At 48.4% G+C, this 17,901-nt stretch overlaps 1 protein-coding gene and 1 long non-coding RNA gene across 2 annotated transcripts in view, besides 6 other annotated features; both read left to right on the forward strand.

Annotated features, from left to right (window-relative positions):
* Positions 556–1,746: an enhancer, noted in NCBI's record as "VISTA enhancer hs1043". NCBI's record gives its function as "enhancer in: neural tube[9/10] | hindbrain (rhombencephalon)[9/10]" and the evidence as "EXISTENCE:transgenic organism evidence [ECO:0001131][PMID:17130149]".
* Positions 2,169–2,749: an enhancer, noted in NCBI's record as "OCT4-NANOG hESC enhancer chr3:147126759-147127339 (GRCh37/hg19 assembly coordinates)". NCBI's record gives its function as "activates a minimal SCP1, AML or CMV promoter by ChIP-STARR-seq in naive and primed H9 embryonic stem cells {active_cell/tissue: H9 hESC(naive and primed)}" and the evidence as "EXISTENCE:reporter gene assay evidence [ECO:0000049][PMID:30033119]".
* On the forward strand, positions 2,562–9,916 carry ZIC1 (Zic family zinc finger 1). Its single transcript, NM_003412.4, has 3 exons — positions 2,562–4,291; positions 5,715–5,878; positions 6,551–9,916. The coding sequence occupies exons 1-3, from the start codon at positions 3,310–3,312 to the stop codon at positions 6,746–6,748; spliced, it is 1,344 nt and encodes a 447-aa protein (NP_003403.2). The 5' UTR covers positions 2,562–3,309; the 3' UTR covers positions 6,749–9,916.
* Positions 5,375–6,214: an enhancer, noted in NCBI's record as "NANOG-H3K4me1 hESC enhancer chr3:147129965-147130804 (GRCh37/hg19 assembly coordinates)". NCBI's record gives its function as "activates a minimal SCP1, AML or CMV promoter by ChIP-STARR-seq in naive H9 embryonic stem cells {active_cell/tissue: H9 hESC(naive)}" and the evidence as "EXISTENCE:reporter gene assay evidence [ECO:0000049][PMID:30033119]".
* Positions 6,215–7,054: an enhancer, noted in NCBI's record as "H3K4me1 hESC enhancer chr3:147130805-147131644 (GRCh37/hg19 assembly coordinates)". NCBI's record gives its function as "activates a minimal SCP1, AML or CMV promoter by ChIP-STARR-seq in primed H9 embryonic stem cells {active_cell/tissue: H9 hESC(primed)}" and the evidence as "EXISTENCE:reporter gene assay evidence [ECO:0000049][PMID:30033119]".
* Positions 12,345–12,494: an enhancer, noted in NCBI's record as "active region_20675". NCBI's record gives its function as "activates an Ori minimal core promoter by ATAC-STARR-seq in GM12878 lymphoblastoid cells {active_cell/tissue: GM12878}" and the evidence as "EXISTENCE:reporter gene assay evidence [ECO:0000049][PMID:35858748]".
* Positions 13,433–14,361: an enhancer, noted in NCBI's record as "H3K27ac-H3K4me1 hESC enhancer chr3:147138023-147138951 (GRCh37/hg19 assembly coordinates)". NCBI's record gives its function as "activates a minimal SCP1, AML or CMV promoter by ChIP-STARR-seq in naive H9 embryonic stem cells {active_cell/tissue: H9 hESC(naive)}" and the evidence as "EXISTENCE:reporter gene assay evidence [ECO:0000049][PMID:30033119]".
* The window catches only part of LOC440982 (uncharacterized), an 88,584-nt gene continuing 85,206 nt past the window's right edge, over positions 14,524–17,901 (forward strand). The window contains exon 1 of the long non-coding RNA NR_121655.1: positions 14,524–14,756. This is a non-coding gene — a long non-coding RNA (uncharacterized LOC440982). The remainder of the gene's footprint in view (positions 14,757–17,901) is intronic.

A 17,901-nucleotide genomic window follows, 5' to 3' on the forward strand; every position in this document is an offset into this window, starting at 1 on the left:
CCCTCTCCCCCTCCCAACAGCTACCCTTCCCCCCTTAGGTCCCCTCCCTTGTTGTGTGTGTGTGTGTGCGCCCGCGTGTGTTTCCTGAAAGGCGGGCGAGGTGGGTTCAATATCTGTTCTCCCTAGTGAGAGGAATACAGCCTCTAGAGAAAACTTCTCCATACAGATGAGGTTTTCTAAACTCCAGGGGAAGCAGGATCCAACTTCCCCTTGTAGGTAAAAAGACTTAGTGCCTCCGATATATCTTTTTTTTTTCCAACCAAGTGTACAATAATTTTTAAAGATACCTCGGCCCTTTCTTTACCTCCACTCCTCATTCCATTCCACTCAAAGTTGGTGGGAAATGCTGGGCTGCTAGACTCAGACTTGTTGATGGGAACAGAACAATTAATTTTTTTTCCGAATTTATATTTCCCGGCACAAGCACAAATGCTCAGCCAGGTCCCTTCAGGCACCGGGAAATCATCCCGGATACCCAAGCCGACTTTTGAGCAAGCACAGCCCATGGAAAGGGCAGTCCCGCCGGCCAGCCCCAAGCGAGAATCTAGTTGGTGAGAAGACCAGAAAACCAGAAAGGCGAGGAGCGGCGGACGCTGACCCTGCCTTCCTCCAGCCCGTGCAGTCAGCGCTGGCGTCAGGGCAAAAAATATATTCATTTTCATTTTCCTCTCGCTGGGGCACGGTGAGTTTCCTAACCGGGCCGCCTATGAAAGGATGAGTTGAGGTTTCTTTGTTTGGAAAAAGAGTTTAGGGCTTTGATTCAGCTGCAAAGAAGCCAAATGAAGTTAGAAACAAAGGGTAAATTGAAGGATTCCGACTCTTGGCTTTTTGTGTTTTCCTTACTAGAAAATAATTAGACCTAATGAATATGCAGACGCTTCAGCTAAAGCCTCGGCCAGGACTGCTGGGTTTTAAACAGAGCTGCGGAGAAATGCAACCTTCGTCCCCACAACCCCCCGCATCCGCGTGCATTTTTTGAAATGCATAAATGTTGCTCGGCTTAATTGATTGAGTCACAGGGATTTTTTTTTCCTGCTTTTAAGTACCATACTCCCCTACCTTTCAACAATCATTTTAATATATAGTCAATGGCTCTTTGTGGAAGGGACAAAAAGAAACTACGCGCAGTTGTTGAATAGACTTTGCGCTAGGCAAAGACAGGTTAATCGAGGGCCGCATCGCGAAAACAAGCGAGTGTTGTATGTTTGCACTGAATCCAAATGTCTGCATTTTCCTAACTAAATCAAAGGGAGTGTTATTTCTTTTTCTGCTCACTCATCTGAAGGTAAGTAAATTTTCTCTGGCGATCAAAAGCCTGGTCGGCAACAAAGACCGCGCCCGCTTTTTCCACCGTCCTGGTGTGGCGAGTTGCGGAATTTCAATAACTGTGACAAGGGTGACTGATTTGTGAACTAGAAAAGGTTTGAATGTCACAAAATTTACATTGGTCCTATCTATTGGGGATTTAAATACCGAAAAAGTATTCGGGGATCTCTAGGGAGCTTTGGGCAGCCCAAGGGAACAATAGCGCGTTGGGAAATTTACAGTTTTACCTGAATGAAAGGGGCCCAAGTAGGGAACAGGAGTGAGGAGAGACAGGGTTAGCGGGGGCAGTCGAAGGAGACAACGGAAAGGCAGAAAACAGAAAAATAACGCAAGAGAGAGAAAAAGTAAAGGAAACTGGCAACAACGTTTCAAATTTGCCATTAAAAAATTCAAACCTCAATAACCTGGGAACTTAAGCGCTTTCATCCACCTGTGTGTGTGAGTGTGTGTGTGTGTGTGTTTTCGGGGAGGGGGGTGCGGTGGTGCCGGAAGTCTGATTAGATAAAAGCGAGAAATACAGAGGCTGCCGGTTACACTGAGAAATTACATTTTTTTGTAAAGAGAGCATAGTGCCCGTGTGCTCCCAAGATCTTAAATTATAAACAGGAGGGGGACAAAGCAAGAGGGAAACAAACTTCAAAAGGAGCAAATAACAAAAGCCTCTTTTGCTGCTCTTGAAGGGAGGGGGGAAGGGGGAAGAAAGAAAAGAAAGTTGCTGAATCGGGACATTCTGGAAGTGCCTTTGCTGTGTTTACTAGCCCCATCCCCGCCTGCTGCACCCGGAGACGTCTGAAGTCTCTAATCGCTCAGCGAAAAGTTGGTTTCGGGAAGGGCAGCGCCGGGGTGCGGGAGGGCAAAGGAGGAAGAGGAATGCATATGACTGTGAGAAGGAAAAGTAATCGTGGCAAAAAAAAAAAAAAAAAAAAAAAAAGAAAGAAAGAAAAGAAAAAAGAAAAAAAATTTCCGTGAGAAGAGGGAAAAAATTTGGCTAAAAAAAAAGTTGCTACTCCTGGCAGCCCTGGTTTGTCAAAAGGGGATGTCAAGCGCTTTACAATACCTGGGATTGATGAGGCGGGCGGGCCAATGAGCTGCGCGCGGCGCCTCGGCGCGCCCTCCGTTGGCGCGGCGGCTGAGGGCGGGGGGAATGCGGGCGCACCAATGGGCGCCAGCGTCGGCAGCACGTGACACCTCCCCCCTGCTCCCATTCATCAAGGGGGGGACGGTGTCGTCCTTTCAATTCATTTATCTGCAGGAATGATTGCTGCTATCAGTCTCGCGCTCACCGCCCGGCTGAGGAGGTGAAAGTTTCTCCCCAGGAAGATAAACCGCAAAAGACAATATTGTGCATGATTTGCGCCTTTTCTTTGGCTTTTTCTTTCTTTCTTCACCCCCCCACCCACTTTTTTTTTTTTTTTTTTCAAAAAGCAGAGAGGGAAAAACGGAGAGTGAAGGAGCGAGGAGGCGAGCGTGAGAGAAAGGAGAGAGAGAGAAAAGAAAGGGCGAGGGGCTAGTGGAGAAGTAAGGAGGGGCGCGCTGCGCGAGGCGGAGAGAGGGCGAAGCAGTCGCGGCACTGGCGCTCACATTCCTCTATGCTACAAATCCAGGAGGAAGTTTTTTTTTAGGGGGCTGAGATGCTCCATGCCTTTCCCCGGGCAGCCTTGACGCGCGGCCCTCTCGGCAGAGACTGAGCGGCGAGAAAGTGCGAGCCGGGCCGGCAGAATCTGCCTGGCGGGCGCTGGAGCCTGCGTTACTCGCGGCCCGCAGCCGTCCGGCTACTTTGCGTTTGGCCCGGCCAGCGCCCGGGCGCGCCGCGCCATTGCCTGCAGGCTAGGACTTCGCGAGGTGGGTCGACTCCCCCTCCCTCCTCCTCTTCTTCCTCCTCTTCCTCCTCCTCTTGTTCCTCCTCCTCCTCCCGATTTTCCCTCCTCGGCTGGCGAGGGTGGGGGGGGCGGGGGAGGCCGGGGCTCGCCCCGAGCAGCCACGATGCTCCTGGACGCCGGCCCCCAGTACCCAGCGATCGGCGTGACCACCTTTGGCGCGTCCCGCCACCACTCCGCGGGCGACGTGGCCGAACGAGACGTGGGCCTGGGCATCAACCCGTTCGCCGACGGCATGGGCGCCTTCAAGCTCAACCCCAGTTCGCACGAGCTGGCTTCGGCCGGCCAGACGGCCTTCACGTCGCAGGCGCCAGGCTACGCGGCTGCTGCGGCCCTGGGCCATCACCATCACCCGGGCCACGTCGGCTCCTATTCCAGCGCAGCCTTCAACTCCACGCGGGACTTTCTGTTCCGCAACCGGGGTTTTGGCGACGCGGCGGCGGCAGCCAGCGCACAGCACAGCCTCTTTGCTGCATCGGCCGGGGGCTTCGGGGGCCCACACGGCCACACGGACGCCGCGGGCCACCTCCTCTTCCCCGGGCTTCACGAGCAGGCTGCCGGCCACGCGTCGCCTAACGTGGTCAACGGGCAGATGAGGCTCGGCTTCTCGGGGGACATGTACCCGCGACCGGAGCAGTACGGCCAGGTGACCAGCCCGCGTTCGGAGCACTATGCTGCGCCGCAGCTGCACGGCTACGGGCCCATGAACGTGAACATGGCCGCGCATCACGGCGCCGGCGCCTTCTTCCGCTACATGCGCCAACCCATCAAGCAAGAGCTCATCTGCAAGTGGATCGAGCCCGAGCAGCTGGCCAACCCCAAAAAGTCGTGCAACAAAACTTTCAGCACCATGCACGAGCTAGTTACGCACGTCACCGTGGAGCACGTAGGTGGCCCGGAGCAGAGTAATCACATCTGCTTCTGGGAGGAGTGTCCGCGCGAGGGCAAGCCCTTCAAAGCCAAATACAAACTGGTTAACCACATCCGCGTGCACACGGGCGAGAAGCCCTTTCCCTGCCCCTTCCCTGGCTGTGGCAAGGTCTTCGCGCGCTCCGAGAATTTAAAGATCCACAAAAGGACGCACACAGGTACGGAAACAGCTGTAGGACCCCTACCCATTCCCACTTGGGCCTGGGACCCAAACCGAAAGTCAGCGGCCAGGTCGCACAAACGCAGCCTCGGTGGGATCCCGGGCGTCAGGTTCCGGCAGGCAGGCAGGGAAAGTGTGCGCTGATTTTTAGTTTCTGGCTTGAAATTATGGAAAACACACACACACACACAGGGCGGACGAGGAGGAGCTGGGTATATAGATTTTTTAAATGAGAAACAAAAAAGGTCGGAGAACAGGAAGCCAAACCTGGTTTGGCGGAGACCTTGGTGCTTTCGAAGCCGGAGAAAGTGGCTGGCTCCCGGCAGCCGCGGAGGCGCCAGCTGCTCAGGCTGCAGACAAATCTAAACCCTTGCTTGCTGCCAACATCTCTCTCCGTGCACTTCACTGAGGACTTTGCCAAAGGAAAGAGCTGAGGAAATTGAGGAGGCCGGGTTAAGGGCGTAGAAAGAAACAAAACAGAGACAGAAAGAATTGAGACAGAGTGGGGAAAGGAAATAATTTGGGATTGAGGAGGCTTTTGGAGCTTTATGCATATTTGAAGAGTTCAGTTTTAGTAGTGACTGGTTTTAAGAGTGGGTTTGAGGGGTGGAGAAAGTCCGAGGAAGGCAAGGAAGAACTTGTTGTCTATTAGACTCCATGAGGGTGTTTTCAAAACACCAGATTCCCCTCTTTGGCCTTTAAAAATAATCAAGACACAGGTCCGGAACAGTTAAAAAAAAAAAAAGTTCCCACGAGCTCAGGGTTGTAGCCTGGCATCAGACAAAACATTCTGGGCCCCCTGCCCCCAAGAGGCCGGGAACTGGGTCTCCTTTCCTATTCTGATTTTCCCGGGTGAGATCTGAGAACCATGCTTGAGACTTCGGGTTTAACGCCCGAGTCAGGGAAGAATTTGCGGCGTTGAGTTCTCTCCGGCCCAGATTACGCTATAAAATGTGAGTGTATGTAGGGAGTGGGGTGGGTTGGAGGAGGCGACCAGGGGATGCGGAGCGTCGGGGAGGGGGCAGGGGGAGGAGAGAAAAGCAATAGGGCAGGAGAATAAGCCGCAAACGTGAAAACTAGAAACCAGGAGCCAGGTGGAAGCAATCCGAAATCGTGTGTAGCTCTGGGTAATACGAGTTTCCAGATCTGATGCTAAAAACCGACTCCTCCTACTATTAATTTTTTTAAACATAAAAATAAAATGTAGATCCAATTGTATTAGGGATTACAATAGAGTTAAGATATTTATAATTCCACTGCAGATGTAAGAATTTATTGACGTTCCGGGTTTTTAAGCTTGCAAAGTGCTAATCCTGGGCTGCTGGCTTTTTGTTTTATTTTTTTTCTATTTGTTTAGTTTTTGAAAAACGGCCGCGGTATTTTTTTCTAATTAGACCCCTCTCATTCTACTTTGGCACCAGGGGAGAAGCCCTTCAAGTGCGAGTTTGAGGGCTGTGACCGGCGCTTCGCTAACAGCAGCGACCGCAAGAAGCACATGCACGTGCACACGAGCGACAAGCCCTATCTTTGCAAGATGTGCGACAAGTCCTACACGCATCCCAGTTCGCTGCGCAAACACATGAAGGTAATCGCCGCACTCTCGTCGCCCCCTTTGAGGCAGGAGCTCTCTTGGCTCTCGGCTTGGGGTCGGGCGGCGAGTGGCAGACAGGCGGTGGCGGGAGCCAGAGGAAGCGGGAAGGCAAAGGTTCCACTCAGTGGAACTGGGCAGAGAAGGTAGGGCGGGACCTGGAAAAGGGGATGGGAGTGTCCAAGGCCGTTTTAAATTTTTGGTTTAATAATAAAAGTTAAAAGAGGCGAGTATGAGCAAAGGCCGCCACTGAATTTGGCCCAGAGCTAGGGCTTTTGCAGGGGGTTGACGCTGCGGAAACTGCTGCCCTTGCAGCTGCCAGTGAGACGCAAGAATTGGACTCCTGCGCCCAGGCCTGAGCTCTGGCTCACCTAAACATGGACAAGCAAAGTTCAGGGAAAGAAAGTGCAGTCTCTGGCCTCATATCCAGTCTCCCTCTTCCCAGACCTATTTTTCTTTTGTGAGTCTTGGGGACCCTGACTTTCCCAGGAGCACGGTTTCTGCAGGCCTGTGCAGAGAAACCAAGCCCAAAGTCCCGCTGATCGGGCCTCACCTGTGTTCAGGGGGCTCCAAGGGGTCCAGGAGGAAGGGCACTCGCGGCCTTCGCCTCTCTAGTCGGCCGCCGCACTGGCTCTTTATGTCCGTAAAAACGCGACTTTATTCCTGCAGGTCCACGAATCCTCCTCGCAGGGCTCGCAGCCTTCGCCGGCCGCCAGCTCTGGCTACGAATCCTCCACGCCTCCCACCATCGTGTCTCCCTCCACAGACAACCCGACCACAAGCTCCTTATCGCCCTCCTCCTCCGCAGTCCACCACACAGCCGGCCACAGTGCGCTCTCTTCCAATTTTAACGAATGGTACGTTTAAAATCAGAAACAAAACATCGAACAAAACCCTATTTAAGAGACTGATCACACACGTATACACAACATTACTGAAAGAACCCTGCGAATCAAAACAACCCCCACACAGACCCCGCAATCCTTTTTTAAAAAATCTGCCAATAGACCCAGGACGAGTAAGAGAGGAAGCATCAACCTTTTAAAAATTTCCTTTCGCTTTCATTATTTTTCTTTTTTTGGCAAAGGCTTGGTACCCAAGGTGCGGTAGGGGGTCGAGGGGGAGGAGGCCACCTGACCAAATGCCGCCAACCCCGAGGGCCAGTTTCTTGTCGAATTGGTACGGGCTCTCTGGGGCTTCGGCTTCTTTTTTTCTTTGTTTTCTTGTAAATACAGAATTATTAGCTTAAAACTGTACTGTTGAATTCTGTAAATAGTTATATCTCGGTTGGAGCGGGTGGGTGGGATTGTGGCGTTGTGGTCTTTGCATTGGGGGAGGGGGGAGGGACCGGATGGGCGGGGGGAGGGGGAGGGGGAGGGGTGGGCGGCCGAAAGCCAACTGTTTGTACTGAATGGCAAGAATGTTCTAGTAAATGTGTACCAAAATGTGAATTACTTTGTACGATTACAGTCTCCACGTCGACCTAACCCAATATTATTGGTATTAATGTGCTTTTTTTGTATAAAGTGCAAACATTTCGTCCCAAAGTCTAAGTACTTTAGTGCAGTAAAATGTTGTTTCATGTCCTGTCAAGAATTCGTATAGTACGAGCCTGGATCTGCGTGTCAAACTGTTCCATTTGTTTATGTAAAGTGATATTAAAAAAGATATAAACTATAACTGTCCGTTACTTTTGGCAAAAGATACAACCACATAATGTATATAATTCCTAGTTTCCATATTTATCCGCATGTAAAGGGCCGGTTTATCCATGTTACAGCTCTTCAATATTTATGGCTAGAAGAACTCGTATGTACACTTTAGTTTCCAGAACTGTTTGGTAACCTTTCGTACCTTATTAAAGATTCTTAAATCTCCGTGATTGTGGTAGGAATTTCTTCTTCACCCACCAGCAACCTGCTGCCTCTTCTGCCAGTCTTAAAGGGTCTCCAGAAAAGCTCTCCAGTCTCCCTTGCCTTCCCTTTCTGTCACTGCAGGTCGTATAAACGTGATAAATGAATGCTACCCTGCTGGCTCTCCGAGAGAGTGTAATTAGTATTTATATCAAAATTTATGAAACAAATTTTCGGCCGCAGTATAATTTAAATGACCTTTGCAGATGTAGAATAACAACCATAAAAATAACAGGAATAGATTGCACAGGCGACATCAATATTAATGTAGACGAATTGTCAGAAGCTCAGGGGCTCGCTCTGCAACATTGCAAATGAACTTGCAGCCGAGGGTTCCGCTGCCCCCTAGATTAAATTCCCCGGGCTGAAACTGAGTTGCAGATTTACAATATCATATTTTAAATTGCTGTCTTCAATTAAACCATTTATGACCATAACTAATTTTCAGGATGTCGATGCATGCTTTTCCAGGCCTTCCTTCTTTGTACAAAAGTAAATGTCCATAAAGCGTTTCACTTATATTCTTCAAACATGATGCTAATTTAAATTAATTACTTCCTATGATATGTTATTATTCCTATGATTTTGCCACTGTTATTAGTTCTCTCAAAAATACATCTAGGGAAGAGGATTATTTTAAGTAATTTGATTATCTTTCTATCTCTTTTATTTATTTCTCATTTACTTAAGAAATTCGTTCCATTGGTTGGCATTGATACAGTAAATTTGTAAATGAGGAGACAATATAAAAAATCTAAATTACTTGTGCTTAATGACTGTAGCAGAATGCCTTTTCTCTAAATCAGATTGTCTTTCTTGCAGTTTAGTTTGATAGATTTGCAAGCTATGCTGCTTCCATGAAGTTAGCTGCGCTGGTAGGAACGCAGGCTTCTTTGTCTCTGGTTGTAGCTTGCATGATCGCCCCATTAGGCAGACAACGTAGCCGGAGATCACAAATCAGGCCCTTGGCTGTAGTTGCTAGTGTGTGGAGGTGCAGAGCAGGTGGCAGAAACTGACCTCACTGGGCAAGGGTGGCCATGGACCTGATTCTTTAATGCACTCTATGTGTTCAGGAAGCCACAGGCCATATTTGACTCTGAGAAAGAAAACAAGAGGAAAAACCCCACAAAGTATAACAACCCCTTAAGATACATCTATTTTAAAGTGAAATTAATTTTTCAGTTTATACCATTGGCCAATTACAAGATAAAAATGTTCAATTTCTTTAAGAATCCTTTGTTGACTTGTCTTTTCATCTCTTGCTATTTATATTTGTCACTGTTTCAACAAAGTCTTATTTGCTGAGGAAGGACTTTGCTGCACTTACTGTACCACATCAAACACTGGGGAGGGTGGTGTTTAACTTTTTAAAAAATGTTATTCTGATTATAACAATAATATTGGCTTTTTTCATGAAAAGAGCGCCACCTTGCAAGGTTTAGTGAGATTTATGGAAGTTGAATACCTAAGCAGGAATTGCTGCTAGCTCCAAAAATTTGCGAAGCAAAAGCTAGCCCCAATTGGTTTGGAAGTTTGAAACTGATTAACAGATTTGCATTTGAAGTGACTCCAGACATTAGGTCCAGACATTAGTTAAAAATAGAAAGAGGAATAAAGACATCTCTTCTCTCTAGAAAAGATAACACCACAATTAATAATCCTTCCCACTTTCATTGAGATCAGCTTGTCTGATAACCTGATATGAGTGTGATAATGATAAACATGATAATAGTGGTACTTTTGTAATTTTGCTGGTGCATTTAAGAAGATAGTAAATGATGAGTTCATCTTTTCTTCGAACATTCCTATTCCTAGATGTAGTTTACCTCAAATTGGGAATTATAACTGTCTAATTTTTGTTGTGTACCTGATGCCCCTTTTGCTTTAATACCACAGTGTAACAATTAAATATCACACTATGACATATGATTTAAGTAGGATATTTTAAAGATAAATTTTAGGGGTAAATGTTTACTTCAAAATGACTCCATATTTCAAATATCTGTTTAGACTGTGAAGGCCAAATAATTTTTAAGAAAACATTTGAAGAGTAGTGTGTTTGCATTTGTGAATAATCTTACTCACAGCAAGTAAACGTAATAAAAGCCAACATTTAAGCCAACCCTCCTGTGCATTCTCTTTTCCAACACCTATCACAAAGAAAAAGTCATTAATGATGTAGGTGGCCTAAAATAATCCTTCGAAGTTAAATGTAGTCTATTATTTTGCTGGTACCTTTAATATCTGCTTCTTGAGATGTATTCTTCATACTTTTTTTCATGGGCTATTAGGTTTTGAAATACATAAATGTGAACAGCAAAATATATTGTTAGACTCTCTTTAGCAGGAGCTGAAGATGCTGCAAATAGCTGTTTCCTGTGTGTAGCTTTAGATTCTGACTTAGGTAGAATGCTGTCCTGGTTCATTTTGCAATTGCATTGTATTCTGAATACTATCAAATGATTAGAACAGCTAACAAGTTATTAAAAAGTTATGTTGTGTCAACAGAAAATGCCTGAGTACAAGCAATCATATTTGAGAAATGAAGAGAAATGAGTTGTGGTATGTGTGTGTGTGCATTTGTAGAGCAAGCATATAAATATACAAGCACCATTTATATGGGGGCTAAGTAATTTCAAACATTTCAGATCCTTTGTTTTCTTCTTCAAAAGCTACCCCCAACTGCTTTAAGCGTTTGCAGCTGATGATTTTGATTTTTTAAAGTCAAGCATTCAAGTTAACCTTTAAAAAGCAAACCACCTCCAAAAGAAAGATGTAACCTTTCAATTGCCCCATCTGCTTATCTTTTTTTTTTCTTTCTTTCTTATTTTTTTTTTTTCCTGACAATGAAAGTAGCACTAACCTTCTTTGCTGATAGGCCTGGCATTTAGATGCTTTTATTGTGAAGTTTTCTCAGAACTTTTAAAGGGCTGGCCAGAGAATTATACCCTCAAGTACCTCACCTAGCCCCAAAAGCTTCCAGAAGTTTTCTTTTTGAGGCCAACATTAAATCAGTGTCTAGGACCCCTTGTGAGTCGGTGCTGTTGGAGTTGTTACCTGAGCATACTGCTTTTCAGGAAGTGAGTTGGAGAAGGCCCTAGACCTTAAAGAGAAGATTTAGTTTAAGATGTTATGAGGAGTTACTGCAGGTGGTCTGGCACACTCAAAATAAAGGAACTTGTGCCCTTGGCTGTGGACTAGATATAAAGACATCAGCTCTTACACATTCCCAAGTTACATTTCTTTTCTTTTTCCAACTTATAATACCGATTACAAATTTATCTCCTCCTCTCTAGGTACAGAGTTCTGGCTTCCTTGTAGCATCAAGTGTAGTTCTTAGAATCATGTGTTCGTATTTGTGGGGAAAAGCATTTTCATAAAGATAGTCACAGTTGATATCAACTGTTTTAGAATTATTGAAAATAGTGTTGGCAATGGAAAGATTGATCTTGTCTGTGCCGTCAAGCCGCTAAAGGTACAAGTTAGCCACGATAGTCTCTCTTTCGGCTTTTAACCACACTGTCCATCCTCTGTAATATGTACCATTTAAACTAGTTAGATATAGAAAGTAAGATTATTATGGGTAACCATATAGCAATTTTTAAAAAATGATAAGCACTATTTTGGGGCAAGAAATACAAAAAATGTTAACTTCTTATGTCACATTCAATCCTTTTCCTTAAAGTTTATTGCAAATACAATGGTGTAATAGGTGCAAAATATGAATAATGTTCTCCTTAAATCTATGCAAGGCTGGTTTGCTCCAGAGTCCCTTCCTTAGCAAGAGGAAACACATCAGGCCAAACCAGAGGCTATTTTTACTGTGGAAGCTGGGATCTGTCATCAGTTACTAAAGTTGATATCCACTTTAGAGTGAAGAACTAAAACAGTGTGAAGTTTCCAACTGATGTTATATACCAAAGGTGAGTTTTTAAAAAATCGGGTTTAGCTATCTAGAGTGGAAATATCACTTGGCAGTGAAGATGCCACAGACTGACATTGTGTCAACTGTCCACAATACTTTGGCTGCCTCTGATGGTTGTCAGACATCTCTGTAAGCATATCCAGGAAAATCCACCGGTTGTGAAAGTTACGCAGTGACATTTTCACCTATGGCACACACAAGAATCAACTATTGAGCGTGGGTATAAACATATTGGAATCACATCTTTAAAAACAACAATAGCAAGCAAACCCAAGCCGTCCGACCTTAGCAAACTTTAAAAAATTGTTATTTTACGTCTTTCTTTTGTGTAACAATGTCCATGAAGTTACAGTAAGCGGGAACACAAACGGTGAGAGAAGCTCGCATCGCGATTCCTTTTTAAACATTTTCCATTCATCCGCGAAAATGCTAGCCTCTGACTAAGAAAACTGAAAGTTGTGGAGAAAGGACAGGGGTGGGATGGAGTGCGTAAAGGGAAATTTTTGCATTGGTGGATTTATTGAAAGCATGGAAACAGTCTTCGGGGGTAGGTGTAGGGGGTGCAACAGCGAGACTTCCCCACAACACCTCCACCGAAGGCTGGGTCGTCAGCGTTTGAGGGACCCTCCCGCCACCCCGCAGCCTGGCGGGGCGCTTTCCAAATCGTCGCGGCAGGCTCTGGCCGGGCAGGGCGAGATGTGCGCATGCGCGGCCTGTGGCCCGAGGTTCCACGTGCTGATGAATATGCATGAGACTCCCCCGCCCTCGCGGGCTAGAGAGAGAACCAAGCAGAGGCTCCGGCCTGTGAAAGTCGCTGGCTAGGCTCCCAAAATAGTGCGGCGGGGTAGCTGCACGTGTTTGTTTTCAAACCGCGCTGGTTTAAGTGAGTTCACACTGCGGAGCCGACAGCAGAGGGTAGAGCAACCTGGGGCTGCTGCCATTGGAACGGCGAGTTGAGCGGGCCTGTCAGGGCCTCTCCGCCGAGGGCCGGGGGCTGCATGGTGCTCGAGCCCCAGCCGGCCACACCCCAGTGCATCGGGTGGCTGGGCTTCCAGTTTACACCGGGCCTACCAGGGAGGCCTTCTTCTCTTATCCTTTCCCAAGCCCGAGCTGCCGCCCCGGCTGTTCTCATATCCCTAGCCCCTCGGAGAAGACTTAGCCTACCCCTAGTCAGAGCTCAGGCCCCAGGTGACCGGGCAGCGGCTTGGGGGAGGTTCCCTAGGCCCTTCCCTCATCCCTTGCCCAGATCCAAGTCTGGGTGCCGGCTTGTCTTTGTCTTTCCGCCTCTCTCTCCCACTCTTTTCTCCTACTTCCTCTTGCTCTCTGGCATTTCCCCAGCCTCCCACCGCCCCATTTGAGATACTAGGAGCCATTTGCTTGAATGACTGTTCTAGGGTTTCCACTTGACCCTTTGCAAATAATACCAGTCAGCTTGCCTGTCTTGGAGTTGAAATGGTCCTGTTAAATCCAAACGTGCTTAGGTAGCGCAAACGTCGGGACTGGTGGAGGAACTGCCCTGGCCTAGAGACCAGAAAGGGTAGGGTTTGGTGAGAGACACCTGGGTTCAGTCGCTGGATTATTGCTTTCCTCTCTAGTGAAGTCCTTGGGGATCTGCATGGTATTTTGTGGCCAATGTGCTGACATTTCCAGAGTGAGCGTATAATCTTTCTAGGTGGAGTGGCCAACGCTTGTAAACAAAGGGGAGGGGCAACAGAGGGTCCCTGGGTCACTCTAACCTCTGACCGACTAACATCTACAGCCTTTGGGTGTTTTAGTAAGAATCCTGGGTCCCATAACATCAGAAGTGGTTGCCGACAGATTCCAATCCTACTCTAGATTTTTACTTTCATTTGAACAGGTAGACCCACTTTGTGGAGCTTATCATTTCATTTCCCTCACTGGGAACAGGATGCCTAGGTCAGTGCCGGGCTCACACTGCAGTCTATCCCAGGGCCAGTTCCATCTGTGCCAGTTTTGGAATACCGGGACCACAGTATCAGTTCACCCGACAACTACCACTCCCCAAGCCTTCAGCGTGGAACCTGAGGACGCAGGGAGGGAGGCTTTGGAAATGTTCCTGCCAGGACAGTGCCTTTTTTCCTACCCAAACTCCCGAGTCTCCGAGCTCAATAACGCAAGGATGGCTGAAGAGCGTCTGCTCCATGTCTCTTTGCCGGACTCAACGACCCTCACCCACTGCCACCGAGTGCTAGGCCCACAGAGGCCTGGCAGAAGCCACTCACCCCTCACTACTCATGACTAGGAAGAAAGTGGCCGGGGCATGAGGGTTCGAGTTCTGTCCTAGGTCCCGGAAGCCAGGGCTCCCAGCGTCTAGTCAGGGGCGCAGAAACCCTCGTTCCTCCAAACCCCCGCCACAGGGACCACTCCAGAAGAAACCCATTCGTGATTTGGGTCCCTTTGTGTTTGAGTATTGTGGGGAGTGGGCTATCTAGACTCTAAGGACTCCAAGCTAACGATGACCTGTGTGGGCCTTGCTCTGAACAGAAAACTCAAACTCAGCGTGGGTTCCCGCGTCTTCCCCAAAAGGCCAAGGCCCAAAGAACCCTTTTCATTTGGCGAGGGGCTTGAGGAAGGGAGGGGCTGGGGCGGGAGAGGGTCGGGGTCTGCAAGCCAGCGGCCCGGCGCAGCGGACTTGTCCGGCTGCTCAGCTTGGCAGCTAGCGTCCGTGCCGGCAACGCTGTTACCCTCTCCTGGGCTGGAGAGTGGGGACATCCCTTCCCCGCCCCTAGGCGTCCCTGGGGTCGGCGCCAGAGCCCGGGAGCGCCGGAGGCTCTGGCTGGATGGCGGCGAGGAGGGCTCTGAGTCCTCTCCCGGCCAGGCCGAGCTTAGTATGTGGAGGCGGCGGCGGGAGTGCGGGCATGGACCAAGGGAAGGGGGACACCCAAACCGCATTGGTGCCTTCCTTTCCCTCCACTCGCGCCGTAGACCTCCCCAAATTGCCCGTCTCCGGTATGACTGAATCTGTCTGCTGGCCTCTCAGCTACCAACTCTGCCCGAAATCTAGATCCCAGACCTGGTAAGTCGCGTTCCTCCCCTACCCCGCCCCGCCACCTTACTAGCGGACTCTGCCCGCGACAGCGTGCGCGCGCGTGGCCTGAGGCGCGCGCTGAGAAGTTGGGCTGATTTGGAACTGCTGCGCTAGTTCGGCCTCTGCCGCTGGGGTGTATACGTTTATACGCCGTACGCTCCAGGGTAGTCAGGAATGTCGCGGGGCTCCCCAGTGAGGCGGGAGCGAAAAGAGTGCAGGCCCACTCTTCTGGATCCTCTTGGCCCTGTTGACACCAAAGCCATCTTTTAAGAATAAGCTTTCTGCTGGTCTCTAAAAGGGGAAAGGGGCAGCGGGGGAAGAGAATTGTCCCTTTCCCTAAGCAGTTTCTAATCACTAAGGTCTTCAACAAAGTTTACTGGGCGGTTTCCATTTGAATGCTGTGAAATTGTTATTATTACTATTTTAAGTTAAGGTTTCTAAGAGTCACAGCTTCTCAAATATACGTGCCTCTTGAGGATGCTTCGACAATTACCTTGTCCACTAACTGCACTTCCTTCCCACTGGAAAAAATAAACTTAATTTTTCAGTAGTTGCCTTAGGTCACGTCGTTTACATGTCACTAATGTGAAGAAAGAAGTAAATAAAGAAAAACAACCTTGGCATTTCTAGTTGGAGCTCCGTGCGCTTTATTATTGAAATGTGAAAGATGGATTTTGGGGTGGGAGGGGGAGGTAGGGCCCTGGAAGAGGGCTTTTGAACCACGGTGCCCTGTTGCAAGGGGCTGACCTTTGGCTGACACGGCCACGGAGCGGGCAGTTCGTTAACGAGGATTTGATACATTAGACATTCGAGCTGGGCGTGTAAACCTACACTCTCAATCCAGATTTCGCTCAAATTAGTGTTCGAGGAAATGATCTTTCTAAGTCCTGAGGCTTAATCAAGTGTCAGGCAGTCCAATTTCTCCCTGAAAAGGGCAGCGAAGGACACCGGGTAAAAGACACATTCCTAGATCCTTAAAAGCAAAACAAAACAAAGCCCCCCAAATAAAAACGACAACCAACATACAAAACAAAGCAAAACAACAAAACAGAAACATTTTTTGAATAATTCCTAAAATCCTTTAAGTTGCCACTTTGAGGCAATGCTTATAAATAAGGTTAATCACCTCCTTTTAATGAATTCCGTTCTAAGAAATCCTAATACCAGTCAAGGCTGTGAAGACAGTGTCACAGTTACGACAATACTTTTTTTGAGATTCATATGTGTGTGTGTGTGTGTGTGTGTGTTGTGTGTGTCTGTGTGTTTCTGTTTTACTCGCTGGAGATACTAGAGTGTGACAATTTATATCCACCAGGCAGTGTGGCACATGGAAAGGGGATAGTCACAGGTTTTTAAAGCCTTTTGAAAGTAGATGCATCTCTATTTAATTTGGTTCGACTTATTCCCAGACTTTGGAGCTCAGAAAGGGAAGGCAGGCTGGCCACTAAGTCCCTGGTCTGGCGCTCAGCGGCTGAAACTGCAGCGTTTCGGCCTCACAGATGGGGCTGGAGTTGGAGACGTCGCTGCGGCCAGGACTGGGAGGCCACTTGCTTGGCGGGTGAGGCGGCTCACGCGGTATTTATTGACTGGCTCGGGAAACGTGTTCTTTTACTTACTTGTCATTAAAGTTCTAAGTTTTAAAAGCGCATTCCCAGAAAATGCTTTTATTCTCTTTCCCCCAGTAACAGAGCCCGCTAACTGCTTTCAACTGGAGAAGGGGAGAAATTCACTCCTGCACGAGTTCCCAGCTACTCTCTGGTGAAAGCGGGAGGGCGAAGCGAAATTGTGTTCTAGCTCTGAGCTCCGCAGCCCTCCAATGGCTGACTTCCTTCAGCTGCTGTCCTGGGGTGCCGATCGCTGCGGCAGACGCAATTTTCCGCACCTGCGTGTTGTTTTTTGCCGCCGGGTTTTGGCGGAGCCATGCAGGCGCGGTTCCTGGGACCCGAATTTATTCCAAGAGAAAACGCACAAAAATCAGTTGTGGTCTCAAATCTTTATTCAAGGAGTCTCTGCCTCCACTCCCCCCTGTCCTCCGGTTGTAGATGAAAAGGTGGAAAGTTAAACGAGAAAGGCAACCACTATCATGAAAAAAAGATACTCTCAGGATTCTAGGGAAGAGAAATTGTTCCCCAACAGCCTACGTTGAAGAAATCCCAAGAGGATAGGGCCCATGAGAGCTGCAGGATTTTTTCCAGAAGTAGTTCTGTAGACTCAGTCCCAAGCATGCGCCGATGGCTTCCCAAACTCGGGTCCCCCGACTCTTAGTACATGGGCAACTGCGGGTGATTGAACACACTTTTCTGGACGATAGAGGCCAAAGTCCCCCTTGGAAAATCAAACCTTTCCATAATCTTGATAACTCTCCAGTGTGGGAGGGTTGTAAAGGTGAGAAGAATGGAGAAAGAAAAAGCTGGAGAAGGATGGGAGAGTAAGGAAAGAGGGAAGACTGTGGTTAGTTAAGTGCGAGGTCGAGTTCATTTTCCCTCAGTGGCGGGTACCAGCACCAGCTCACGGATGAGAAACTCTCCGGGATTCCCAACTTCCAACTTGTGTCAAGCTAAAGTAGAAACGGTGGGTCCATTTCGTTTAAGGTCCACATTTTTGGAGTCAGTGGAAAACAGTATTACGCTGACCCATATAAGAGTGGAGGGAAGGAAGCACTCACTGTTCATAGACTTGCCCTGTTTCTCCCTGGCCCTTTTTTCTAGAACTTTCAACTCCGTTTTACCCCAGGAGCCTATACCGGGTTTGGGCCTCCAGACTCTGTCGCAGTCTGAGGTGCCTGTGAGTCCCCCGGAGCAGCAAACACTGGCATTCTAACTGCGACAGGACTTTCGAGCGAGTGCGAGGAAAGCCCCTTTCGACAGTTCTGAGGTTTTATCCGACCCTGCCCGGGACTCCCTCCCTGCATGCCCCCGGAGCTCCAGTCCGGGCCACCCGGGGGCTGCTGGGGACCTGACGCAGGCAGCTCCGCCACTGACGTCAGGGGCTGCTGGCGGCTGGAACCCGAGTCCAGGCCACAGGCGCCCGGCGTGGGCATCATTAATTATCAGGCACGAAATGTTGCAAAGAAAGCGCAAGCTATTCTGCTGGCAGCTGATACATATATATATATATCTTTTTCTTCTGGGAG

This window comes from Homo sapiens, chromosome 3, assembly GCF_000001405.40.
Source record: "Homo sapiens chromosome 3, GRCh38.p14 Primary Assembly".
Classification (NCBI taxonomy): Eukaryota; Metazoa; Chordata; class Mammalia; order Primates; family Hominidae; genus Homo; species Homo sapiens.

Excerpts from the sequence above, each read along its gene's own strand:
- ZIC1 (NM_003412.4), top strand. The coding sequence starts at position 3,310 with ATGCTCCTGGACGCCGGCCCCCAGTACCCAGCGATCGGCGTGACCACC. Across the intron at positions 4,292-5,714 it reads CCACAAAAGGACGCACACAG|GGGAGAAGCCCTTCAAGTGC; the intron begins GTACGGAAACAG and ends CTTTGGCACCAG. Across the intron at positions 5,879-6,550 it reads CGCTGCGCAAACACATGAAG|GTCCACGAATCCTCCTCGCA; the intron begins GTAATCGCCGCA and ends TTATTCCTGCAG.